Genomic DNA, 27,229 nt, shown 5'->3' with positions numbered 1-27,229 from the left:
ATCCTCTTCACCCTCCCAACAGCCCGGGAAGGTAAGGATGAATCCACATTACAGTTAAGGAAACAGAGGCTCAGAGAGTTTAAGAACTTCCTCCAAAACCATACAGCTAGGAAGGATCCAAACTGGCCCTTGAACCAGGTCTTCCAGCTTTGATTCCATTGCCCGGGTTGCCAAACGCAGTTGCTTTTCCATGGATGATTATGATCTGCATATGTTCTAGGGTCAGCTGGTGAGACCACCTGCTCTTCCCCCACCAGCTGCCAAGGTCTCTCTACCCTGCCCTGAAGAACAATGTGGAATGTGGAGGTGAGGTGGGAATCGATCAGCCTGATCCTGGGTGAAGGTCCTGGGTGAGGTCAGCTGGCTGTGGAGATTAGAGCAGATGCAGGACAGAGTACAGGGCATTTCGTGAAGGACTTATGAGAACAGCAGCATGATGGCAGTGTTTGGTTATGGAAGGCTTCCTGGAGGAGGAGTCACCCTCTGAGGAAGCTCATCGGCTCTTCTTCCTTAAGTTCCTAACACTTGGGTGTCTGGCTAACCTTCCTGGGGGCAGACCCACATCCCCAAGGTTTGTACTCCATAAACATTAAAAGAATAGCACTTGTTATCCTAATAAGTGTCCCAAGGACACACAGGGAAGCAGAAACTAGAAGGATGGGGCTCCCAGAACCCCCAGGAGCCAGAAGTCATAGCCACCTTAGACAAGAATAAACCACTATCCCACTTCCAGCTTTGTGCAATGCAGTCTCTAAACACTCCTCTAGGGATGACAATTCAAGGGCTGGCCAACAGAAGGAATACCTCTTGTAGCTGGTGGTCTGGGAAGGGAGACTCACATGACCTGTTTCTTCTTAAAGAGCAAAGCAAAGGTGCCCACAGCAAATTTATAGCCCCCAGGTTATCCCAAGGTTGAGTTCTCCAATCCTTTTGACCGAATGGAAGAAAGTGGCTAGAGGGAGTCTCCCCATAATCCGCAAGTAGCCATTATTGTGGCCACTGAGAGTTCTGTGGTTTGCACTTTTGCTGGGTGAGAAGTGAAAGCTCTGGACCAGCGCCTTCTGGGCTGGAATCCAGAAGGTTCCAAGAGATCATCTGCCCCAGCCTTTTATCCTGGCACGGGCATGGTCAAAATGACCGCTCTGGTCCTGAACCACCTTCCAAGCAATGCTGCCTAGATGGGGTGGGATTCGCCTGACCTATTGGCCCCTGAAATGCAATGATTTACTTGAGAATGTGTCCTCTGTGGAACCAGATAGATGAATGCAATGATCCCCCAAGTCTCACCTAACCCAGGACCCTCCAACCTCTCCCTTGAGACAATGGCTCCTGCCTGTATCCCAAACCCAGCCACCCCCAGGCTGTTGTGGAGTTCAAATCCGTCTCCAAGTGTGGGTTGAGGCCATCTCACAGAAAGACTGTGAGAAAATTAATTACTTAATGTATGTAAACGAGCTTTGAAGATGAAAAGTTCAAATGCAGTCTCCTTAATAACATCTTCAAGACTTCAGGGAGCCCCAGAGTCGCTGCTGAGCTCACCTTTAAGATGAGTCCGTGGGGAGTTGCTGGCAAACTCCCCAAGCCCATAAACAACATAAAATGGCTTTCCACTCCTTTTATGCAGCCAACCCCAGCTCTCCCCACCAATAAAAGGACCAGGGAGGATCAGAGAGAGCAGAAGGATCCTGAGCCTCGCACTCTGCCGCCCGCACCACCTTCCGCTGCCTCTCAGACTCTGCTCAGCCTCACACGATGTCGTGCCGCTCCTACAGGATCAGCTCAGGATGCGGGGTCACCAGGAACTTCAGCTCCTGCTCAGCTGTGGCCCCCAAAACTGGCAACCGCTGCTGCATCAGCGCCGCCCCCTACCGAGGGGTGTCCTGCTACCGAGGGCTGACGGGCTTCGGCAGCCGCAGCCTCTGCAACCTGGGCTCCTGCGGGCCCCGGATAGCTGTAGGTGGCTTCCGAGCCGGCTCCTGCGGACGCAGCTTCGGCTACCGCTCCGGGGGCGTGTGCGGACCCAGCCCCCCATGCATCACTACCGTGTCGGTCAACGAGAGCCTCCTCACGCCCCTCAACCTGGAGATCGACCCCAACGCACAGTGCGTGAAGCAGGAGGAGAAGGAGCAGATCAAGTCCCTCAACAGCAGGTTCGCGGCCTTCATCGACAAGGTGGGTGAGGCCTGAGACGGCCCAGAGAAGCCTCCAGCCCTGTCCTCCCTTGGGGAGGTCCCAGTCTGCTGAGGAGACAGGATGGCTGCCGGTTTGAGGCAGCAGAGGGAATGACGTGCAGACCCATACAGGTGGAAGGGTCAGTTTCCATCACTTAACTCCCGCAGCATTTAACGAGGTCCAGGTGTGGTCTAGAAATTGAGCCTGTGATCCAAAGTGTGTGCATGTGTGTGTGTGTACATGTGTGTGTGTGTAGCGGTGTGTGCGCCTGTACGTATGTTAGTGTGTGGTGTGTATATGTGTGTGTGTACATGTGTGTGAGCATATGTGTGTGTATGCATGTGAGTGTGTACATGTGTGTGAGCGTGTGTGTGTTTCTTGAGCCAAGACGACATAGGACTATCAGAACTGTGTCTGAAAAACCAGACTGGGCAGCAGGTGCTGGAAGAGTGGGAGATAACGGGGAGACCAAAAGACCTTGTGGCTCCTAGCCAGGCAGCCCGTGAAGGGGCTGGGGTAATGCCCACAGCCATGCTGCCTCTCCCAAGTCCTTGCTGCATCACTCAGCAGTGTGAGACCCCAGGCAGGTTACTCTGCTGAATAACAGGACTGCCTCATCCACCTGTGAGGAATTAATGAGTCCATGCATGAAACATGATGGCAAATAGTCAGCACTCAATACATGTTAGCTGCTACTATCATTATTTTCCAAGGACAGTGGTAGGTGAGGAGGTGTGACAGCCAACCCAGGCCTGGCAGCCCCTTCATGAGAGAGGGCTGAAATGCAGACAGGGAGGTGGCCAGGCTGGTAGGAGGAGGCCCCCTAATGCAGCCAGAGTGTGGAGAACGCTGCATAGCTGTGAGGCTGCCTCCCAAGAAAGTTTTGTCGGGGGAGGCTGGGAGCCTCCTTCACAGGCTCCTCCTGTGTCCACAGGCCTCTAGCAGAGCAGAAGGAGCAGCTTTGGGGGCCTAGGATCAGGGTTTGGGGGCAGAGGCAGTCACCTTCACGTTTTCACTCTTTCTTTAGTGATCTGAGTCCATCCTCACAGTGACGGGTTGGAGTGGGTATCAGCGTCTCCACTTATCAGACAGCAACTTGGAGCTAAGGGGGTGTATACGAGCATCTCAGACATGCTGTAGGGGGAGGCAGAGCATGCCTATCTCAAGACTATCGCTTACCATGAGCTGGGCATTTCACACCTTGGGGGTCTCAATTTCCCCATGTGCAACATGGGGTAAGTAATATCTACATCCCACAGGGCTGTGATAATTGAATGGAATGCATAGTTAGATGATATAGACATAGACACAGACATTAGACATGGATGTGTATATCTTACCACAGGCCTTGGCACTAAGTAGTAAATATTTAATAAGTGTTTGTTGCATAAATGAGCAAGTGAAGGGCAACTGGTAATTATAATAATAGTTAAATAGACTGAGCATTTACTACGTGTCAGGGACTGTTCTAAGCACTTGATATGCATTAACTTGTTCAAGCTTCACAACAGTGCTAAGACAGACACTATTCGCTCCATTTTGGAAAGGAGAAAACTGAGCCCCAGGAGGTTAAACAACTTGCTCTCTAAAGTATCAAAACTGGGGCTCGAAACAGACCTTTGGCTTTGAGTCAGACTGCTTTCCCTCACACCCACAACTGCCTCCCTGGGGGCCTGGGAATGGGCCCCTTGAGCCGCAGACACTCAGCTTTATGGCTCAGCCCATTCAGCCAGCACCCGAGGGCAGAGAGACTGTGGGGGACCAGGTGCCTCCCCCCAGGCTCCCTCTGACTTCTTCTTTCCACCTGAATGGCAGGTGCGCTTCCTGGAGCAGCAGAACAAGCTGCTGGAGACCAAGTGGCAGTTCTACCAGAACCAGCGCTGCTGCGAGAGCAACCTGGAGCCACTGTTCAGTGGCTACATCGAGACTCTGCGGCGGGAGGCCGAGTGCGTGGAGGCCGACAGCGGGAGGCTGGCCTCAGAGCTCAACCATGTGCAGGAGGTGCTGGAGGGCTACAAGAAGAAGTGAGTGCAGCAAGCTGGGGGGACTCAGGGGAAACTCAGAGAGAATGCTGGGAGGCTCTGCCCATAGCCCTCTTGCCACAGCTTCTTTCAGATTCCTCTAGCAGGCTGCCTGGAACCCAGAGCAGATATCCAGTGGGGCCTAGATTTCTTCAGATTCCTGGGATTCACCTCTAAGACTCCACCCCTGTGAGCCTTAGAGCTACTTCTGGGGGAATGAAGAGAGGAAATCCAGTGGAATTCTAGCACTCTCTATGTCCCTGTCCTTCACAGCTTACCTTTATGACATGGGCTCTGTGATCTCCCTGCCAATGGAACCAGCTCTCTTGGGACCTAGGATGCACAGATGATTTTAGACTTGGGGGAAGGAATGTGCATTCCTAACCCCATCTCAGAGGCAGAAGGACTGCGGCGGAATGAAGCCAGGCTAGGACAAGGGCTGGCCCATGAATAATACAAAAAATAGATCCTGGAGGGGCCAAGACAACATCTGGAGGGGATTAATCCCTTTTCAATCCCCGGAAGAACTTGCCCAGGAGTTGGGATGGTATTCAAGGTCCAGTTTCTCAGCTCCAGACCTTCTCTCTCCCACACCCAGGTATGAAGAGGAGGTGGCCCTGAGAGCCACAGCAGAGAATGAGTTTGTCGTTCTAAAGAAGGTGAGGGGCTGGTCATGGGGCAAGGAGGAGGGGGCCCATCAGTGCAAACTCCAGCGAGGGGCAGGGTCACCATGCTGACCAAAGGCACCTTTCTTTGGTCTCCTCTCACATGCATGTCCCCTCCTCTTTGTCCCACGGCCAGGACGTGGACTGTGCCTACCTGCGGAAATCAGACCTGGAGGCCAATGTGGAGGCCCTGGTGGAGGAGTCTAGCTTCCTGAGGCGCCTCTATGAAGAGGTAAGGGGGCAACTGCCACCCAGCCAGGGCAGGTGGAGGGGTGTTTTGGAGACAGGGGAGCAGTGAGGCAAGGGTGCATGTGTGTGCCTATGTTTGCCAATGTGCAATGTAAGTGTGAAAAGAGCTTGCACATACGTGCTGGGGCCCACAATACAGAGGCCATGTCCACGTTCATGTGTGAGAGGAGCATGGGGTGTACATGTTCTTGGGCTGCTCTGTGTCTGTGACCTCTCTGCATGTTGGTGTGCTGCCTGTGTGAGTGCCAGTCTACAGATGGGCAAGAGAGTGTGCATGTGTGGTGGGGGTCAGGATGGCTTCGCACATAGGGCATGGTCCTCATTAATGGACTGACTAATCACTCATCCTAGCCTCCAAACCCCAGCTCCCCTGCTGGGTGACTTTGGACCAGATCTTTTTCACCCTCTGGGCCTCAGTTTTCCCACTTTTAAGGCAGACACTGTTCCCAGATGGCCTCTACAGCCCCTTTCAGCTTTGTTGTTTTTAAGGAGCCTGTGCATGAGTGAAGGTGGTAGGAGCAGGAGTCATGTAACCTTCATGACCAGTGCCCGGTCTGGGAAGTGGACATTGTCCCCTGGGGTGGATCACGTGGCCCAGATCAGGCACTAGAAGCAAATGCACTGGCTGTTGGCCCCACAGGAGATCCGCGTTCTCCAAGCCCACATCTCAGACACCTCGGTCATAGTCAAGATGGACAACAGCCGAGACCTGAACATGGACTGCATCATCGCTGAGATCAAGGCTCAGTATGACGATGTTGCCAGCCGCAGCCGGGCCGAGGCTGAGTCCTGGTACCGTAGCAAGGTGAGTGGCACAGGACACCTGCCTGCTAAGCATGGCAGTGGGAGGGAAGTTAGGCATCTATTAGAAAAGATTTCTCTTGCCTGGGGATTCTGACCCATGAGGACAGTATGAGAAAAGCCAGTAGTTCTCAGGTTGAAGTGGCAGGGCAGGACTGCCATGTGTGGTTGCACAGGCTGAGCACCGTACAACCTGTATAGTCATCTGTGGTGTCCTGAATGGATGGGGGGCCCCACCCTGAGCCTCATGAGCATCTCTACTTCCTCCAGTGTGAGGAGATGAAGGCCACGGTGATCAGGCATGGGGAGACCCTGCGCCGCACCAAGGAGGAGATCAACGAGCTGAACCGCATGATCCAGAGGCTGACGGCCGAGATTGAGAATGCCAAGTGCCAGGTGGGGTCTGTGGAGGATTCAAATACGCAGCACAGGCAGGCTGCAGCACCTGGCCCTAATCAGGCTTCACAGTGTGCCCATGAGGAAGCAGGGACCCAGAGGGAAGGGAGGGGCTCTATCATATTTCACAGCAATCAGACCATGTCACTGACTTCCAAAGGAGGATCCAGCCCCTTCCTTGGCCACCCTGTGACCGCCATCAAGGAGAGATGATGAAAAGCCCACCCATCTCCTCCCTCATATTCACAGCCCCATTAACTACCTGGCCACGGGCCAACCTTCTCTCCAGGACCCTCCTCTCCCTGCCCTGGCTCCATCAGCTTGGGTGAGCCAAGCTGTGGCTTCTCTTTCTCATCCTGGCCCTTGTATCTCCACCTGATAGCGTGCCAAGCTGGAGGCTGCTGTGGCTGAGGCAGAGCAGCAGGGTGAGGCGGCCCTCAGCGATGCCCGCTGCAAGCTGGCTGAGCTGGAGGGCGCCCTGCAGAAGGCCAAGCAGGACATGGCCTGCCTGCTCAAGGAGTACCAGGAGGTGATGAACTCCAAGCTGGGCCTGGACATCGAGATCGCCACCTACAGGCGCCTGCTGGAGGGCGAGGAACACAGGTGGGGCTAAGAGGACTTTGTGGGGTTTCAGAGGTGGAGGCTGTGGTCCTCCAGGAGTGAATTTCCTTGAGCTGAGTGTGAGCTACAACTCTGGCCATGGCTAATACAATAGCTTCAATAATAATAATAATAATAACTGAATGCTTCTGTGCTAGACCTGTGCTAAGTGTTTATTTTATAATCCTCACAATCCAATAAGATAGATATGGTTTTTCCCATCTTTTTATCTTTAGATAAAGAAGCAGGCTCAGAATTCAGTGCCTTTATCATGGCTACGCAGTTAATAAGCAGAAGAGCTGGGACCTGCACCCAAGTCTCATGCCTCCCAAATCCGTCCTTGTTGAATAGCTTCCTACTGAAGCTGCTGCCACACAGGCCTGTGTGTTATGATGATGATGCACTTCTATATGCATTTAGCTCTTCATCAACCACAAAGCCCCTTCACACCCTGGTGTATCTGATTCAACTCTCCTTCCTGTGAGCTTGATTGGCACCATCCAGGCTGGCCACCATCACTCAAACTAGGGGCACTGTTCATAATCTTACCCACTGCTGCTGAAAATCAGAAAGCCTTGTCTTCATGGTTAAAACCATCAAAGAAAGAAAGCATTTAATGCAGATTTGAGGGAGCCCTTCTTGCCTTTCAGGGGTAGACTCTGTACACAGGATGACCCTCTCTGTCCCCAAGCAACCATCAGTCTCAAGGAATCCAACTCAGTGTCTGGAACTAACAGAGTTTTCTTTCTCCATAGGCTGTGTGAAGGTGTGGGCTCTGTGAATGTCTGTGAGTATCTGCCTGAAATTCTCCTGGAAAAATGGCTTTTTTGATAGAAAAGCTGAACTCATTGGCCTAACCCATGGAGCCTCGAGTGTTCCCCCAACTGTTTCACCCTCCCCTGGCTCCTCAGTGGGGGCCATGACAGGTGTTAGAGAAAGCTGAGCTGAGTGCTCTTCGCAAGTGTTGACAGTGAGCTATAGGCCATGGACCTGTGGCCTGGCAGCTTTGCTCCCCGGGGTCCAGGGGTCCTCACTTCCTTCCTGCCCCAGTTCCCTAGATGGGCTGTGCATCTCAGGGACAGGGCCTGCATTGTTGACCACCAATTCCTTGGAGAGGGAGGCAGCTCCTGCAGTGCCCTGGGGCCTGTTGTAGGGTGGGTGAGATTGCAGGGAGCTGCTCACCCCTCCATGTCTCCTCTCTCCACAGGTGTCAGCAGCTCCCGTGGTGGAGTCTCCTGTGGGGGCCTCTCCTACAGCACCACCCCAGGGCGCCAGATCACTTCTGGCCCCTCAGCCATAGGCGGCAGCATCACGGTGGTGGCCCCTGACTCCTGTGCCCCCTGCCAGCCTCGTTCCTCCAGCTTCAGCTGCGGGAGTAGCCGGTCGGTCCGCTTTGCCTAGTAGAGTCATGGAGCCAGGGCTTCCTGCCAAGCACCTGCCTGCCTGCATCACTGCACTGAATGGCATGTGAATGGAAAATGTGTGCTTGCTTCCAGAATCTTCTGGATGTTCCTACAGAGGGAAAGACCTACAGAGGGAAAGACCCTCGGGCCGCTCCCCTGCGCCTTTTCATGCTAGGGAGATGCATCCTAGTTGTCCTCCTGGCAGCTGTTTTCAGAGGCATTCCCAGCCCTTCACTTAACTCCTACTTAGCTCCAAAATACCTGTATCCAATTTGTATTATTCCCCCAGCTCTCAGGGACAAGACCAGTCCCCCAGCGTGGTGGTCAGCACGGAAGCTCCACCTTCTGGGTGGAGGCGCCATCCTAACCATCCAGCCAGGCCACCCACAACCCGAGAATCAGGGAGAAAGTCCCTCCCCAGCAGCCCCCTCCTCCTGGCTGGGAAGAATGGTCCCCCAGCAAGCACTTGCCTGTTCATTCCTGTTCATGTTTTGCTTCTCTCTCAGACTGCCTTCCTGCTTCTGGGCTAACCTGTTCCAGCCAGGCTCCTCATGTGACCTCGCAGTTGAGAAGCCCATTATCGTGGGGCATCCTTTTGCCTACAGCCCCTGGTTAGGGCACTTTGGACAGGTCTTGCTATTCAGTGAACCTTTGTACATTTCAAAGAAGACTCCATGGCTGCTCCAGATGCCCCCTTGCTGGGTGCAGGTGGGGACTGTCCAATGCAGAGCTGGCGGGACAGAGAGTTAAGCCACTTCCTGGGTCTCCTTCTTGTGACTGTCTATGGGTGCATTGCCTTCTGGGTTGTCTCGATCTGTGTTTCAATAAATGCCGCTGCAATGCAAGAGCGTGTGGTCTTGTGAGCAACTTCTCCACTCCCTTCTTGCCTCATCTCCAGATGACCAATCCCAGTCCAGCCCCATGCAGTGTTTCCCCAGTCACCCCCCAGAAACTCTGCTGCTTCCTGTCCACTTCCACAGTCTGATTCCACTCAGTCGCCCTCAGTCCCCTCAGGCCTGGACTACAGCCCAGCTCCCCACTAATGACCTCTTTCTCCCTGACCCACCCTGCGTACTCCCAGCAGCCAAAACTCCATCCCAAACTCACTGCTCTCACCCTCTCCTGCCTGGCTCAAGTCACTTCCTGGCACATGTGTGTGCTTCTTATGCCAAATGCAGGCTTCCTCTGTCACCTCCTTCCCCAGCTACTCCTCAGCCCTGTCCAACCCCTCCATGCGGTGCTCATCCTCCCAGTCATGGACTCCACCCCAAGGAGACAAGTCTACCCTCTGAGGCAGCCCAGAGACACTCTCTCCTACATACCCCTTGTGGACACATAGGCCATCCCACATCCCTCCTCCCATTTGCCTTTGCTCAGGGCCCTCCTCTGCTCCCCAAAGCTACCACCCTCACCCCTACACCCCCCAGCCCTCCCCCGCCCCCATCATATAGTGTCTGGAACCCTGAGAATCTCTGGTTTTGTCTCTGCGGATCTGGGCCAGGGATGTCAACGGGTGTGTCTGGATCAAGCTGGAAATTCCATAAGGACAGGAAGTATCTCCTCCTGGCTCTGACCTCCCACTGAGTCCCAGGATGGGGCTCCAAGATATGCCAGGCCTGGGATGTGCTGGATGAATGCAGGCAGCTGGTGCAGCAGGAGGTAGAGACATCCAGTCCTCTTGCCCTCAGCTCCATCTCCCCATTAGCTGTCACCGTCATCAAGCAGGTGTCTGCCAGCCCCCTGCTGCCCCATCCTGCAGCCTCTTTCTCTGAGAGGAGAAGATAGGGCCTTGTGCATCCTCACTTTAGGCCCAAAGGGCTGTAGCCCCACTGGAGGCTGCTGGCTGCTTCTGAGTGCTTAGGCTGCTGCTCTGTTTGAGGTTTGCTGGCTGACACCTGGCGGGCCTCCTCCAGGTCTCTTGCCTGCTGCCTCCTTTTTCCCAGCTGTTTGGGCCCTGAGGGCATGGTGACAATCACAATAGGCCAACTTTCAATTTAGGGGACATCATTCACCCACAGGAAACGTTAAATCCCAGGGGCTGAAACATCAGGAAATGGAAATTTGAGCCCCAATTCTGCCAAGACTGCCAGGTCTCGGTGAGTCCTTGGGCAGGAAGTGGCTTTCATGCTTTGCATGTCAGTCTGGGGTCTATGAGATGAGTGGGTAGAGTCCTTACCAGGTCTGCTGCCTCCTATGGTTCTGAGATGCTACAGAGAGTCTATGCTTGGGGAAAACAGCTTCATGTTACCATGGATCTGGGCTGAGCAAAACAAAAATGCCAAATCTGATACCCAAAAAATAACGGCACCATGGATTGAAAAGTCAAACAGCCAGAACCTGGGAGATAGGAATGAATTTTTTAATACATTTCCGTGCTTTGTGTGCAAATACCATTCAACAGATTCAGCTGGCCAGAGGTGCCTTTTGCTTATGGGGAGGTAAGCCTCTGCCCCAGCCCTCCTTGCAGCCAACAGCAAAAACCCACCACAGCAAGCTCTTCTGGCTCAAAGGATGCTGGGGCTCCTGCAGCTCTCTCCTGATCAAAGAACTATTCCCCTCGGAATGCAAAGGGTACAGTCCAAGGGTAACTAAGGATTAACATTTTATTAGAAAGAAAAAATTCTGAAGAAGTCAAGTGACCTGAAATTGAGAGATCGAGGAAAAGCCAGAAGTTCAAGAGGCCCAAACAATAAAGTGGGCCATGGGAGTGATCCCAGATCTCTGCCCTGGGCTCCTTCCTGCTTAGAAACATCACAAACCAAGCTAACACCAGCATCAGAGAAAATCAGACCTGCTGTCTGTATTCAATTCTTATGTAAATGTTAGTGATATCCTTCCCCACAAACACACAAAGCTTCCAGAGGATTAGAAGTATGGATAATAACCTGTTCAAAGAAACAGGTACGCTTGGGATTTGTCATCTTTTCCTTTCTCCTGAAACCACTAACACTCCACCACCAATTCTCAACCCACTCTGCTTCAACCCATCCTCACAAACACCTATGCCCAAGAGAGTTCCTTCCCCCAGCCCGTGTCTCTAACTGTTCCCTGCTTCAATCTTTGGGATCTCAGAAAATAGAATTTTGTGTTACTACTCACATTAGCCAAGCATAGTGAGGAACACAAATTAACCATATTATCAAGAAAATTACCAAGTATGTTCTGTGTAGACACGGACATGACCATGTGGGACTTAATGTCCCCTTGTCTGGGTTATTCACACTCCTGTCTCTCTCTGGGAACATGAGCATTAGGAAGTGACTGTACTAAGTGTTTTGCTCATTGAGGATCAGAGCAACAACGACATGGGCACTAAGCGCCACACTCCTTGGGTGTAGGGACATGCCAGGCAGAACAAGCAATGGGAGAGGCTTATTTCACAGAGCCTCAGGCCACCTTCCTGCCTCCCCCAACCCCCAACCCCCAACCTGTGCATGCCTGGAAATCCCTGCTCATTTCCGCTTTGTTCAAAAACCGAGGGCTCCCCCATGTTGGCAGGGGAGCAGCCAGGGAGTGGGGTGAGGCGGGGACAGCATGATAAGCTTACGCATTAAAAATGAAGAAAATACCCAAGGCATTCATAGACAAATAGCCACCCTCCACCACCATCAAAAGGAAACACAGACCCTTCCCCAGTCCACAGTCCCATGCCCCAGGGCAGCCAATGCCCCCTGAGACACCGTTTCCTCCTCAGAGTCACTCTGGTGACCCTTTTAACCTGGCTTTACTGCTGCTCAAACTTGGTGGGATCCGGACTGTGATGGGCAGGCCCCTGCAAGACCCTTTGGTCCGGGAGACAGAGACAAGGGAAGCACCACCCTACTAAGATAGACCTCTGTCCGCCCAGGTCAAGTCACTGCCTGGCCATTGTGGTCACTGAAACAGAGTCTGAAGACATCAGAAGAACTGCGTGGCCGAGGAGAACCATTCAAAGGCTCTTCTCTGTTATGTCGCCCGTGCAGTGCTGGCCCTCTGGATGCGAGAGACTCGGGATGGGAAGGCGAGTCACCGTCCAGGCCAGCAGGACTTCCTCAGCCTCGGTGGTCCGCAGGCCACCTGGGTGGGGACAGTTTACAGTGTAACAAGGGGCCTGCAGGTCCTCCCTGCAGGTCCCCACTTTGGCCCCGTCTCCCGTTGAGGCCACCGTTGTCCCCCATCTCCCCACCCACGAGAGTCAGGGGCCACACCCCTCCTACCCCCACCCTCGCTTTGCTCACGGGTCGCCCCGTGCCCTGCCCTGCCTGCCTGCCCACCGTCACGTCCAGCCACCGGGTATCCTGGGCCCATCTCCAGATGCACGGCGCGGGCCCTGCTGGAGCCCGCGGGATCAGATCCACAGGGGCCTTGGGTCCTTGGCTCACGCAAGGTTCGCGCCTCGGCGCCTCTGGACTGGTTCCTGAGTCTTCTGCCGTCCGCCGGGATCCCGCCGCCTGCGCCTCTCTCAAACGCGCCCGCCCTCCACGCCTGGGCCCCGGCTGCCCTCCTTCACCCCTGCCCGAGACGCCCCGCGTCCCGCCCTTAGCCTCTAACCCCAGTGGTGAGGGGCCTAGGGGCTGGGCGCCGGGAGGGACGGGAGGGCGAGCTGGGCGCCACCTGCCCGCCGTTTTGGGGTAGTGGGCAGGGTGTTTGGGGGTTATTGGCTGCTCAGGGCTGCCCCGTGACATGCCCATAGCACCGTGGCCGGGGTCGGCGCCCTCCTCTCCGAAGTCTAGGTGCCTAGTGCGTCCTGGCACAGAGGTTTTATAAAGACCCTCGGGGGTCGCCCGTCTGCAGTGAATGGGATGTGGGGAGCGAACCCGCAGGTAGTCAAAAGGCCAGGCCCTGCTCCCCCAGACTCCACCCCTAGGCCGGGGTGCCAAGCCATTGCCTTGGCAGGTCCGGAGCTGGTACCAGAAGGTTTGGCAATGTGCGTGAGCACCATGGAAAAGAAAAGAAAAAAAAAACCTTTTAAAGACTTTTCTATGTCATGAGATCAGATATGCATTCTTGTGGCAAAATGTTTCCTACCCAGTCAGGCTTAAAAAAAAAAAAGTTCCAAATAAAATAAGGTGGGAGAAATAGTTCTTCCTGTACAACAAGTGAAAGAAAGTTGACCTTCAGAAACCCCTGTCTCCATTCATCACATACAGGTGAGACAGCCCTAGGTAGGACTTCTAGGGAACTGTCAGTTCAAGAGTAGGCCAGACATACAGTTCACCAATCAATTGCCTCTGACCAGGTTATCAGGGCAAATGCCTTCCAACCACGTGTCTGAGCTTTGATCTTGGGTTCCCATATAAAAGGCTTGTATTAACCGCCCCGTGGTACGATCTGTCCGAGATTCTTGGAGAACAGAACCTACGGGGAGATGTTTCTACAAATGCTTCTAGGAGGTCCCATGTGTCACCTTCCATCTCATCTCCAAAGTGTCAGACAGCTGGTGAAGGAGCATCAGGCAGAACTCCTCCGGAAGCATCTGATGAGCCGGAATGTTTAGCCTGAGGAGCAATTAGGGAAATGCTGTGGAAACATTTATGAACAGCAGCATTCCCTAGACATGAGTTTGAATTCTGGACTAGCTGGGTAACTTAGTAAAGCTACTTCTTTGAGCCTTAATTTATTTATACGTAAAATGAGGATAATATTCTGGTTGCTGTGAGAAATTAATGAAATACATATATAATGTGCCAGACACCTAGCAGGTGTTTAACAAATACAGGCTCCCTTCCTCACCCCTTTTGTACCTTTGCCCCCACCTTGCCCTGGTGTGTGTGTGGCCCAGACCATGGCTCTGACCTTTTAGCCGCAGACAAAGGAGAAATGCAAAGGGGCTAGACCGATCCAGTGAGAATCAGAGGGACAGTCACTTCCATGGCCAGAATTATCCGACCCTCCTCTTCCCTCTACCCACATCAACCTGTGGTTCTCAAGCTTTAGTTCTTCTAGGAATCACCTGGAAGCTTCTTAAAATACAGATTCCTGGGCTCATCCCTAGAACTTTTGATTGAGAGTTCCAGATGGAGCCCAGGATCTGCACATTTAGCAACTACCCCACAGGGATTCTGATGCAGGTGGTGGTCGGTGGACCACATTGTGAGATGCACCAAGACAGTCAGGGCTTTGGGTGGGTTGGGAAGACAATGAAGGAGGCAGGCATTAACTTGGTTACTAAGAAAAAGCCTTTCGCCATTGATATTTAATCAAGCACACCAAAAGAAAGAAGGAACCATACAGGAATCATGCAAATACAATGAACTTCCAGGCAACAAACAGTATAAACCCAGCTGATTAGCCTCCGTCAGTCTTTCAATCTGGACATATGAATAGTTGGGGGACTCTGGGAATATACAATCTCTCAGAGCAAGTGAGGAGCCCAGCTCCACACCCACACCACCCTTCCATGCTGAGGCAGCATCTGGAGCCCCTGTCATCCGAGGGCAAAGCGCAGAGATGTTCCCACATACTCCACACCCTCTAGCTGGCTCCGTTCCAAGAGGATCTGGCACACAGTCAGGACTTAATTTAACATCTGCTGGCCTGAAGTTAATTGGGGAAGACAATGACCGAGAAATTCATTCAAAAAAAAGCCTTTCTATTTCATTCCTGAACCACAGGGAAGGGGAGAAGCAATGGAAGTGAAAATAATGTCAAACCCAGGGTTTACACAGAGAAAGTAAATTGTTAACTCCAATAAGAAGGAAACAGGAGAGTTAGTTCTGGGTTCTCTGTAAGGGGAAATTACTAAACTGACATTTGGTCATGCAAGAGAAAAGATTTCCACTCCCCAACCCACACTGCCCCCATCAGAACAGGTCCGTCCAGAGTCCCACCCCCTCTATGCAAACCGCACAGATTGGGCACTGGAGCAGGCCCCCACTGCAGAGGGGCAACACAGTGCACCACTGCTGATGGCCACACCCCCTGAGCCACAGGAGGCAGTGGAGTCCAGGTCCCCGCAGACCACACCACCCTGGGAATGGCTCACACATGTGGACAGAGACACAGGTCAGAATTCTCTTCCATCTCAGACATGTTATGACCCAGAATCCTTTAGAACCAATGATTAATTATCTTCCTTCTCTGAGGGACCAGCAACATGAGTCTTTTTAAACTACAGGCAAACCTGAACCCACTGCCATCTGCTTCTTCAGGAGTGTGGTTAGCAAATTGCACACCAAACTCTACTTGGACCAGGCTGATGTTGAGACATGTTCATACAATCTTTGAGCAAAAACTGATAGATCACACTAGAGGAGTCATCTAGAAATATGGTTGCTAGAGAGGTGAGGGGAATGGAGGGATGGGAATCAGACACCTGGCCCAGGGGCTGTGTGTACATTGGATTATTAGATAGAGATTTACAAGTTGCCTGCAGAGACCCACATGATCAGAATATAAACCTAGCTTTTTTTCTTACTAGAACATGCTACCACTTGAGTAGTATTCTGTGTGTAACTAAAAGGCTTAAGCTATTTTTGCAGAACCAAATAGGGGTTCAGAATTTGCACCATTCATTAACTTAGACTTCATGGGTGTTCCAGATGGATCCATGTATGGTCAAATATTTGAGGTCATCAGTTTGTCTGGATCCCAGAGACATCAGCTCAGGAGTCCCTTGTCTACCACTCCATAGACAGAGGCTTGGTCATCAGTTAGATGCAATCTAATACTAAGATTGCTGAAACCCCAGAAAGCCATGCCCACACACACCCAACTTACAGATATTGACTGAGCCCACGCCTTCACACAGCCTGCAGGGAGAGGAGAGAGTGTACGGTTAGTGCTGAGTTCCTCTGCTTTTGCACCAAACCTATTCTCCTCCATGCTGAAGGAGAAGAAGGGCCCTAAGAGGCAGGGGGAAGCTACCCACCTGCTGCAGACAGCATCAGTGTTGGTCCTGCTTGCTGGGATCCCAAAAGGACAGGAGTATGTTAGCTTACAGGATCCAAAATGCCACTTTATGCCATGTTTGGCTTTCAGCCATGGAAATTTGGTGAACTGGGAAGTAGAGATGAGGGGGGCATCCTCCTGGTCCCTTGGCTGGAAATGCCAGCAAAGCCAAAGTGGTGATGGAAGCTGCTGCTACCTAGCTAGACGTCTCTGAGCAGGAAAAAGCTTGCCTATTACTCAAACAGATTCATTTTTATACCATGATTTTAAATGGTACCCCAGACATCTATCTGATTTCATTCAATGCAGAGGGAGGCTGAAGAGTATGGTGTGGTTAAGAGCCTGGACTCTCAAGCCAGGCTGCCTGGACTTAAATCTGGCTGTGCGGCTTACTAGCTGGGTGATCTTGGGCAGGTCGCTTAACCTTTCTGTGCCTCAATTTCTCCAGCATAAAATGGGGGTGATAATACCTGCCTGAAAGGATTATTGTAAAGTTCGATTGAGTTCTACATGGAAAGTGCCTAAAATGGAGACTGGCACATAGTAAGGAAATCCAATATGTTTGCTACCAACATTATAAACAATTCATTTTTGTAATCCCAGCACCTTGGGAGACTGAGGGAGGTGGATCACTTGAGCCTAGGAATTCGAGACTAGGCTGGCCAACGTGGCGAAACCCTTTTTATACTAAAAATACAAAAATTAGCCAGGCATGGTGGCAGGCACTTGTAGTCCCAGCTACTTGGGAGGCTGAGGCAGGAGAATCACTCGAATCCGGGAAGAGGAGTTTGCAATGAGCCAAGATTGCACCACTGCACTCCAGCCTGGGCAACAGAGTGAGACTCTGTCTCAAAAAATATGTGGATATTATTTATGATGAGACATATATACCACTACAGTGGGCTTTTTATAAACACTCCCTCCTCCCTCACACCTCTCTGCACTTTCTGTTCTGTCTCCCCTTTTGTAGCTTCCCACTTCAAACCTTTTTCCCCAGGAAAGCTCTACCCTGCCTCATTCTGCCCAGCTCAAAACACTTCTTCACTCATCTTTTGAGTGAGGATGTACACATCTGGCTCGGTTTCCTGCCACTCAGTCTGGCATTGCCACAGCCTTACGACTGTGCCCTTTCAAGGAACCCACAGTGCCCGTGGTGGTGCCTGTCAAACCACAATGCTGGCGACAGCTATCTCTGAGTTGAGTGGCTCTGAATGCTTTTGTTTTCTTATTTTCTGTATTGGCAGCAGCGAGCATTACTTATGTAATTAAATTAAATATTTTAAATGCCAAGAGGAGGCAGTCTCTTAAAAGGTCAATGGCCACAGTACACATAGCACAATATGCTAAATTGACTTTAAAATCACATGGATAGGGGATGTGTACTAATAATTCTGATTGAGTTATTAATCCATTAATTATTAGTATCATAATGAAAATCAGTGCAAGTGCCAGCTGCTCACTGAATGCTAGTGAGTGGGTTGGGGGCTTAAGTATCCGAATGCAGACAGAACTCCAGTGGCTTCACCCAAAGCCCCAAGGAAGCTGGCAGAAAAGTGTGTGTGCTTGAGCCAAGCATGGAGCAAGTCCAGCAGCGTGGCCGGGCTGCCATCAGTGACGCTTCATGGAAGGTTTCCAAAGCCAACCAGGCCTTTGAGTTCCCTCTTCATGGGGGCAGCCCAGCCTGGCCATCATCTCATGACAATCACCTCCTCCTACTGGGGCTTACTATGTTCCATTAAAACTCACTTAATCCTGCAACAGCCTTACAAGGTGGATTTTGTGATTATCTCTGTTTTACAGCTGAAGATGCTGAGGTACAAAGAGGTCACATGCTAATAAGTGGCAGAGCTGGGATTTGAACCCAGAGTGGGCTCATGGCCTGTGCTCTTCACCTGTATACTCTACTACCCAGTCTAGCCTCCCCGCCCTGAAGGGACCCAGCTAGAAACTCTAACGATGTGGCCGTCCCAAGTCCAGAGGACCATGCAACCATCCCAGGTGTAAATACGCATCACTCTGCCCCACACTGGCTTCACCTGCCCTCAATTCTTGGCTCAAATTGTCAGCATAGCTTCTCCTCAGCTGTTGAGAAGGCAGCCTCCTTCTGTGACAGCTTCCCTGGGCCACTAACCCCAGGCTCTGGAGGACTGATGTATGTCTGTCTTGTCTTCCTTTGCAAGGACAGAACTTGTGCCGCTCATTTCTATTCCCTGGTCCTGAACACCAGGCTATCTAGGTTGATAGGATTCTTTGCACATCCCAAATCAAATGGCCTTTAACTAATTTTCTGAATGATTCCAGCTTTAAGAACCCACTGAAGCTGATTGCAGAAACATCCTTTCAGTCAAGAGGGTAAAGTAGTGGCCTTGGAATGAGATCCAGATTCCAGCCTGAGGGGCCGTGCAGGAGGGAGAAGAGCATTGGTGGCCAGCCCAGAGACTGGTACATTTTAGGTGAGCCATTAACTGGCTGTGCTCTTGGGCAAGCCCCTTCCCCTCTCTGATGTCAGTTTCCCTATCTGCAAAATGGGGACATGGTTGGAGTCCATGATTTCTAGAGTCTTTCCCAGTTTGAACATTCTCTGCCTGGAATATTTCAGTCCAGCTCTGAGTAGGAACCTGAAGGGACCCTGGAGCCCCTGTCCTCACCGGATCTCCTCACCCTCCAGCAGTTTGCGATAAGTGGCGATCTCCACGTCCAAGCCCAGCTTGGAGTTCATCACCTCCTGGTACTGCTTGAGCATGCAGGCCATGTCCTGCTTGGCCTTCTGCAGGGCGTCCTCCAGCTCAGCCAGCTTGCAGTGGGCATTGCTGAGGGCTGCCTCACCCTGCTGCTCAGACTGGGCCACCGCAGCCTCCAGCTTGCAGCGCTGTGGGGATGGACAGAAGGGAAGGAGTTTAAAAAGGGTGCAGGTTGTGGGGACTCTGGTGGGTCTCCAGTGGCCTTGGTCATCCTATTTTATCTCCATTCAAAACGGTTAATTTTTAAACTTAATACTATTTAAAAGAAATACATATAAATGGAAAATTAACTAGGCAGGGACATGGCCCATTTGGATTTTTTTCCTTCATTTTTGTACACTTTATCATAAAACTGACTTGAGTTTGGCAGGTGAGCCATTAGAGGGAGGAAATGTTAGCACTGAAATAGGAATGATCATTATTAGTGATATTACCTTATACTTGTATATACCGTTGTTCGTTTACAAGGTACTTTCATAGATGTTATCTTATTTGACCTTCAAAGTTATTCTGCAAGCTTGTCACTACAGGCATTATTGTTCCCATTATGCAAATGAAGAAATTAAGACTCCAAAAAGCTGTGACTTGCCCTAAGCTATGCAGTTAATTAGCACCAAGCTCAGGTATTCAAAGGCCACTGTGCAGGGTCTCACTCTTTGGCCTGCTGAGATCATCTTGCTGAAAGAAGCTCCCATGTGCAACAACTCCGGACACACTAACTACAGCCCCTCCCTTCACCCCGCTTAAGAAAGCATATCAGAAGCAAATGAACAAAAGCACTGTTATCACGGGACAACTTCGAATCTTCTCTAATTTCACATCTAAAAAGTAAACCACTCGCATATTTCATTACTCAGGTCTTAACCACAACAAATTACTAATGATACATCCTGTGCAGTGATGAAGAACAGCAACTCAGAAGGCAGAAGACAGAGATTAAGCCAGGCATGTGTGGGAGCACTGTGTTGTGCTGGAGGTAGTATTACAAATCACTGGCGAAAGGATGGATTACATAATCTATTTTCTTATGATATGTAGAAAAATTAATTTAGAACCCTACTCACTGTGTATACAAAAAAAAAAAATAAAGTTCAGATGGATCACAGACCTAAATGCAAGAGGTAAAACTATAAAACTAACGGGGGGAGAAATTTAAGAGGCTACCTCTATTACCTCAATACCTTCTAAGTCTAAACCATTAAAGGAAGAACTTAAGATGGATTTGGGCACATCCAGCTTAAAGATTTGGGCTCAATAAAGGACAAACAGACAAGTGATAGACTGAGAGAAAGTTAATTGCAATATGTGTACTGACAAAGGCTTACAATCCAGATAGAATGGACAAAGGAATACTGCAAATCACTAAGAAAAAAGGAAGGAACCACAATAGAAAAATGGGCAGATATATGAGTAGACAGGTCTTAGAAGGGGAATACAAATAACTAGTAAGTGTATGAGGAAAGATTTGATATCACTACTTAACCAAAGAAATGAAAATTAAAATAACAATTAGGTGCCAGTTTACACCTATCAGATCCACAAGAATTTGGAAGTTTGATAATAGTGGGTGTTGGAACAGGAGCCCTTGCATGCTGATTATAGTAGTGTACTCTGGCACAGTTCAAATACACGCCTCTCCAAATGGTAGCAGTCCCTGAAGATAGGAGGGAAGCAGGAACCAGACAAGAAGTGGCAGGTGTATGGAGCGGGGTCTCGGCGCCCCCCAACCTGCTGCTTGTCGTTCTCCACCTCTGCCGTCAGCCTCTGGATCATGCAGTTCAGCTCGTTGAGCTCATCCTTGGTTCTGCGGAGGTTCTCACCCTGTTGGGTCACTGTGGCCTTCACCTCCTCGCACTGCAGGTTGAGAGGCAAACACGCAGAAACAATGGCTAGAGGCTGCTGTCCCCGACCCAATCAGCCAGCCTACTGTTCCACAGCTCTCCCGCCTTCTGGCCCTGCTCTACCCAGGACCTCAGCGGCAGCCCCTCTAGAGTGCAGGAGTGCGTTTCCCAGGGAAACTCGAGGCTCACAGCTATCCTCCTGTCTCAGTGGGGCTGCCCTGCCCTCCAGACTACCTTGGTTTGGTATCAGGTCTCAGCCTCCACCCGGCTGCAGCTGGCAATATCATCATACTGAGCCTTGATCTAAGCCACAACCAAGTCCATGTTGAGCTCCCAGCTGTTGTCCATCTTCACCACCATGGAGGTGTCAGAGATTTGTGATTGAAGGAGGCAGATTTCCTGTAGAAGACAGCAACCAGTGCCCTCAACTCCAAATCCCCTTCTGATCCTATCTTCTCAGGAAATTAAAAAAAAAAAAAAATATCCCAACTCTGAAATTAGAAAACTACCAGCAAGTCAGGAAAATTTAAAAACTGTAGTTCTAAGAGGAAAAGGCTGGAATTGGGACTGTGGCCTCAAAGCAATGAGTAACGTGGAATTCTACTAATACAGGGATCAACAGAGCTGGATTTATGTGTATGCCGTCACCCCGGCTCACCCCGCCTTGGGGCCTGAATAATCCAGATCAGCTATAGCTCTATGCACAAATCTAATCAACCAGATTGTGGCCAGAGGGAGAGGCCTGGATTATCTGCTTGGGTTTTTACACTACCTAAATTAATAAATTAATTGTCAGATCTCCACTTCATGACATGGGAATTAACCACTTTCTTTCAAATCATCTTAAAGGAAGGGCATCACCCAGTTCCACCCGAACAAGAGAAAAATCCCCTCTGGTCACATAAGGAAAAATATCCAGGCCTAGGAGAGTCAAGAATGTACAGCTTTCCTAGAACCCAGGAACCAGGACAGGCCACACTCCAAGGAAACCCTCCCCTGTCTCCTCTCTCACTTGCTCTTCCAGAGATGGGGAGAGATTTACCTCCCCGTAGAGGGACTGCAGGAAGACTGACTCCTCCTTCAGCGGCTCACGTTGGCCTCCAGGTCCGTCTCGTGCAGATAGGTGTAGCCTACATCCTGGTGGAGATAGACACAAGAGGATGTGGAGTGACCTTTGTCCCCCTCGCTGTGCCCCTGAGCCTCGGCTCTCCTCAGCGGGCCCTGAGGCCACCTCCTGGCCCACCTCTCTGCCTCTGGCCTGACCCTGCCCAGCCACCCTTCACTTACAAGTCTAACCTAGACTTCTGATCTTCACCTTCAGGGACCCCCTAGAAGGGACAGAGCCTTTGTTGTCTGCCAGTGACGTTACCTCCCATTGCATAAATGAGACCACTTGGGGAAATGAAGTGGAGAGCCGAGGACCTTGCCAAAGAAGGAAGCCTCATACCACGGCCCAGAACGTCAGGCTGCTGCCTCCCAGCCAGACTGACCCACAGAGTACAAGCATGCGACAGTCACAGAGCCTCTCTGTAGGTTGTCCTCAGAGCCCAGGCCAGGAAACCACCAGCACTCAAATAGCTGACTCTCCTGCCTGAGACCAAGGCCAAGCCTCTATTGGCAGATCTGTCACCAGCCTTCACTCCACCCTGTGATACTCACAAATAAGGAGGCTGGCAAGCAAGCACATTACTTGTTAAAGAACATTCACATGCACTTTCACTCAGCAACATGAAACAAAAGGGAAACCATTCACAGTTTTATTCCCCAGGGCTTTTCCATCATCACCAATTGCACTGAATGATGGTCACACTTTGAAATCATTAACAAGCTGAGAACCAACCCCTAGTCTTGGATAACAGGGGGAGGCAATGCCCGCAAAAAACCAAGACGGAATTAAAATTGAACATTTCAGCCAATCCAGTAGTTTAAAAAAAGTCAAGCAGGAGCATGGTGAGGTTTTCTTTTTATGAAGGCTCTATCGGCACTGTCTGGATTCCTGCATGGGCTCTATGATGGCTTCTGCAACCAAACTAACCCACCTTCTTGTGCCAGGGGCTCCAGTACCTTACCACCAACAATTGGGCTAATGGGAACCTGACAGGGCCCACAGCATCAGAGCGTCCGGTGTCCAGGATTTAATTCTTCCCATGTGAGAACAGTTACTCACCTTCTTCAGCATCATGAACTCATTCTCAGCTGTGGCCCTGAGGGCCAGCTCTTCTTCATACCTGAGGAGAAACAACCCAGGTGGAAAGGCCCCTGGGACTGAGGACCTGGCCAGGCCAGAGCCCAGGTGTGCCAAACTCCCTGGTTTTCTCCTTTCTCTGTGCCTTTGGAGAAGAGGTTTTGCCTCTCTGGACTTCTATTTCCCAGCCACAAAGAACCCATTGGAAGGACACTGGACTTGAAGTCCAGGTCCCTGGTATCTGGTCCCAGCTTAACTGAAGTTGCTGCAAAACCTGAAGCAAGACATTTAATCTCTTTGTGTCTTGGTCTAAATCACCTGAAGTGCAGTGAGTCACTCAATAAATATTTGTGGAACTATTTAAAAACAGACAGATATTCCACAGAGCCTTTAAATTCTACACTGTACAAAACACAAAGCTCTATGAAGCCACCCCCATGAGGTTTTATTCCCCCTGCCCCAATATCCAAGGACTTGAATTCCTAGAAGCAACCCCTTCTTCAAGCCATTCCCCCACCCTCCTCCAGCAGCCCAGCCCTCTTCCTCCTGCCTGTGAGATTGTAGCCCAGGAGCAGCCCTGCCCCCACAAAGAAGACCAGAGTTCCCAGAGCCCAGAGCATGGTTTTCATAACTTTATTATTATTTTGTTTTTTGAAACGGAGTTTCGCTCTTGTTGCCCAGGCTGGAGTGCAGTGGCGTGATCTCGGCTCACTGCAACCTCCACCTCCCGGGTTCAAGCGATTCTCCTGCCTCAGCCTCCTGAGTAGCTGGGATTACAGGCGCCCACCACCACACCCAGCTAAATTTTTTTTGTATTATTAGTAGAGACGCGGTTTCACCATGTTGGCCAGGCTGGCCTTGAACTCCTGACCTCAGGTGATCCACCCACCTCGGCCTCCCAGAGTGCTGGGATTACAGGCATGAGCCACTGCGCCCGGCCTGTTTTCATAACTTTTGAATTCCATGGTCATTTGGGGCTACAGTAAGCACTCAGCTCTATAATTACCAGCCCGCACACCCCCAGAGTGGGAGACAGACCTTGACGCCTGCACACTGAGGATTGTGTCTACATTTGCTTCACCCCAAGGGACATGAGGACCCACTGCTGGGTCCAGCCAGATGGTAAAACCTGAACTTCCAAGAATCCCAAGCAGGGTTGGAATTACCAGGATTGATTGAGGTCAAAATCACCCTTCACTCTGTCTGTATCTACAAGGTAAGTACAGTGACCCGGTGAGTTTAGACTAGGTAATGAACAAGCTAAATAACTCAGGAAAACCCAAATTTACATTGGTATTTGAATTGTGGAGCCCTGCAGAACGATAACCTGATGGTTTATCTGCAGAATAAATAAAGGAAGAATCCAAGTTCATCAGATACTTGGAATGGCTTCAGCCAATTCATTTTCAGATACCTCTCCAGGGCCTTTCCCTTTCCCCCCGTCCTAGCTCTGACTGCTCCGGGCTCCTCCTCTCCAGCCCTGCTGTCCTTGCTCCTCCTGTTTCATTTGTTCCTATCTCTTCATCTCTGCATCAGTCTGTACCCTGAATGTGTGTCCCATCCCTCCCAGACAGGGAACTCTTCTCTAAATCTTTTCCCAGCCCCCAGCACAGGGGTGTAAGAACTAGGAGCTGACACGAGATAAAGCAGACGGTAAAGCAGAAGTGTCTGATAGCTTGTCAGGGCAACCCTGGCCTTCAGCAGTCTCAGCTTCTGGAGGAGTTGTGTGATCTCAGCTAAGACTGACTCCACTGCCTAGAACCATCCCAGCCCTGTCATGCTCACTTCTTCTTGTAGCCCTCCAGCGCCTCCTGCGTGCAGTTGAGCTCTGAGGCCAGCCTGCCACTGTCGGCCTCCACGCACTCAGCCTCCCGCCGCAGAGTCGCCATGTAGCCCTGCAACAGGGGCTCCAGGTTGCTCTCGCAGCACTCGCGGTTCTGGTAGAACTGCAGCTTGGTCTCCAGCAGTTTGTTCTGCTGCTCCAGGAAGCGCACCTGCCATTCAGGAAGGAGGAAAGAGACTGAGGGGAAAGCCTGAGAGCAGGTTTTGCCTGGTCCCCCAGAGCTCTTTCTGCCATTGAGGATGGCCCCCGCCCTGCAGCAGCCTGTGACCTTCCCCAGGAGGCCAAATTATTGGCAAAGTCTGAAAGTGCAGGTCACAAGTAGTCCCCAAGTAACTTCTCTCCACCCACCCCCCTTCCCAGAAAGAGCACACTATTTATAAACGTTCGTTTATTCTACACAGAATGAAATTAACATCCTGCAGAAATATTTCATACTATGCATACTAGGCAAATAATGATCCCCCCAAAGGTGCCTGCACTAGAGGGATTTGAAACATGAGAAGGACTCAACCCGCTATTATGGCTTTGAAGATGGAGGAAGAGGGGGCCACAAGCCAAGGAATGTGGATAGCCTCTGGAAGCTGAGAACAACCTCTGGCAGCCAGCCAGCAAGAGAACAGGGACCTCAGTCCTGCAACCACAAGGACCTCAATTCTGCCAAAAGCCTAAATGTCCCTGGAAACAGATGCTCCCCTGGGGCCTCCAAAAAGAAATGCAGCCCTGCCGACACCTTAACATCAGCCTTTTAGGTAGTAAATTTGTGTTGTTTTAAGTTGCTAAGTTTGTGGGCATTTGTACAACAGCAATTTTTAAATGTACATACCATGACTCTTCCTTACCTCTGGTGCTGGGGCACTGAAGCCCAGGACAGAGTATCCCAGACCAGGAATTAGGAGACCTCTCACTCTAACTCTGCCACCAACCAGACCACTTTGCCTCATTCTCACTGAATTGCATTGTAAAACAAGACAGGAGAAATACATTAGCAGTGGTACACTGGCAGCTCCAGGCCCTATCAGGCCCACAGGCATGTCTTACTTGCCTTGCACACTGTTTTATAGAGATCTGATTAGTTGCCAACACTTAATAACTGAGTGGTTTCAAGTAAGAATCTGGATCTCTCTGACCCTCTTGACATACCAGAAGTTCTGGCAAGGCTAGGTAGGCCTGTGGCTGGAGTGAGCAGCAGCTACTGTCCCTCTAGGTGGGCATGCCTCTCAAGTTTGGCTTCATTCATGTGACCCACCAAGCCCCCGTTGAAGTTTGCATTTACCAGCCCTAAAGCAGGTGATTTCTTCTCCAACCCTAACCTCTTGGGAGTACAAGCCTGGTACAAACCCTCAACTGTCCAATTGTCCGTGCTTGAGGGACAAGGAACAAAAACTCTGATTATCCAAAAGGCATCTGCCTTGGATTTCAACATGCAGACCCAGGTCATGGGACAGCCCTCTGGCAGGATTAAACCCACCATATCAATGCACTTTGTAGTCTGGAGCTCAATGCAGTTTGGAGCCTGCAGGAAGAAGGCTGGAGGGAAGAGGGTGGCCATCAGCAACCCCAAGGGAGGGAAAAGCCAGCCTGGTGCAGTGGTATAAGTTCCTCTCCCCAGACCCAGAACTGGTTCCTCTCAACGGAGAGAGCAGCATTCATGGGTGATGCCCAAAAGGCCACATGCAGAGACCCCTTTGAGCATGCACTCTCAGGGTTCTCACTGTGCTTTTGAGCAAATTAGGAAAAGATGCCTCCAGCCCCCTGCCAGGGCACATGGCTCTGCAAGCAAAGCCTGGGCTGGATTTCAACCTCCCCTGCTCTTGCTAGGTGTCCTTGTGCAATGAATAACCTGCCTAACTCTACAGTGAGCTTCTTTGTGCTGATGGAAGGGAAGAGTAATCTGGACAGCCAGCGGTATGTTAACAATGGACACCCAGCACCTCTGTGTGCAGATATGCCCACTTCTGATGTAGCGTTGATCTGAGAGCAGAACTTCCACCCACCATCGCCCTGGTTTGTGCCTTCTTATGCAGTCCCAGGGTGTAGATATACACACCATTCAGCCCTGGAAGACGAGCTTCTCCTCCTTTAAACTTTGGTGGCTGTCCTCCCCCAAAGACTGTGAGCTCCTAGGGAGGGCATCATTAGGTTAAAGGAAACCAGAGCTATACACTCAACCAGGAGGACTCTGAAACTGCAGCATCAGAAAAGTCAATTCAACAGCCTCTCCCTGGACCATGCTTTAAGTTTCTCAACTCACTGCCTTTAATCTATGCATGTGCTGCAGGGTATAAAGTGCCTCGGGCAGAAGTCCTAAGGGTTCACAGCCTTCCTATGATGTCCCCACCACGGAGGAGCAGGCAAGGAGCCTCTGACCCCTCTGCATCCTGGCTCCTGCTCCATGCTAGGGACGGTAGCATCTCCTCTAAGCGGGAGGTCAGACAGGCCTAGG

The 27,229-nt window shown here is 51.0% G+C and overlaps 1 protein-coding gene and 1 pseudogene across 2 annotated transcripts, besides 1 other annotated feature; one reads left to right on the top strand and one right to left on the bottom strand.

Moving 5' to 3' along the window:
• KRT85 (keratin 85) lies at positions 1,677-9,152 on the top strand. Of its 2 annotated transcripts, NM_002283.4 has the most exons (9): positions 1,677-2,172; positions 3,988-4,196; positions 4,792-4,852; positions 4,995-5,090; positions 5,748-5,912; positions 6,179-6,304; positions 6,687-6,907; positions 7,660-7,691; positions 8,112-9,152. In NM_002283.4, the coding sequence occupies exons 1-9, from the start codon at positions 1,753-1,755 to the stop codon at positions 8,303-8,305; spliced, it is 1,524 nt and encodes a 507-aa protein (NP_002274.1). In that variant the 5' UTR covers positions 1,677-1,752; the 3' UTR covers positions 8,306-9,152. The 2 variants fall into 2 exon arrangements, with proteins under 2 accessions (NP_002274.1, NP_001287739.1); NM_001300810.1 differs by lacking the exons at positions 1,677-2,172; positions 3,988-4,196; positions 4,792-4,852 and adding an exon at positions 4,536-4,791.
• Positions 16,004-24,939, bottom strand: KRT89P (keratin 89, pseudogene; annotated as a pseudogene).
• Positions 21,502-22,001: an enhancer, noted in NCBI's record as "H3K4me1 hESC enhancer chr12:52740941-52741440 (GRCh37/hg19 assembly coordinates)". NCBI's record gives its function as "activates a minimal SCP1, AML or CMV promoter by ChIP-STARR-seq in primed H9 embryonic stem cells {active_cell/tissue: H9 hESC(primed)}" and the evidence as "EXISTENCE:reporter gene assay evidence [ECO:0000049][PMID:30033119]".

This window comes from Homo sapiens, chromosome 12, assembly GCF_000001405.40.
Source record: "Homo sapiens chromosome 12, GRCh38.p14 Primary Assembly".
NCBI classification, from domain to species: domain Eukaryota; kingdom Metazoa; phylum Chordata; class Mammalia; order Primates; family Hominidae; genus Homo; species Homo sapiens.
This window is presented reverse-complemented; position numbering and strand designations above follow the sequence as displayed.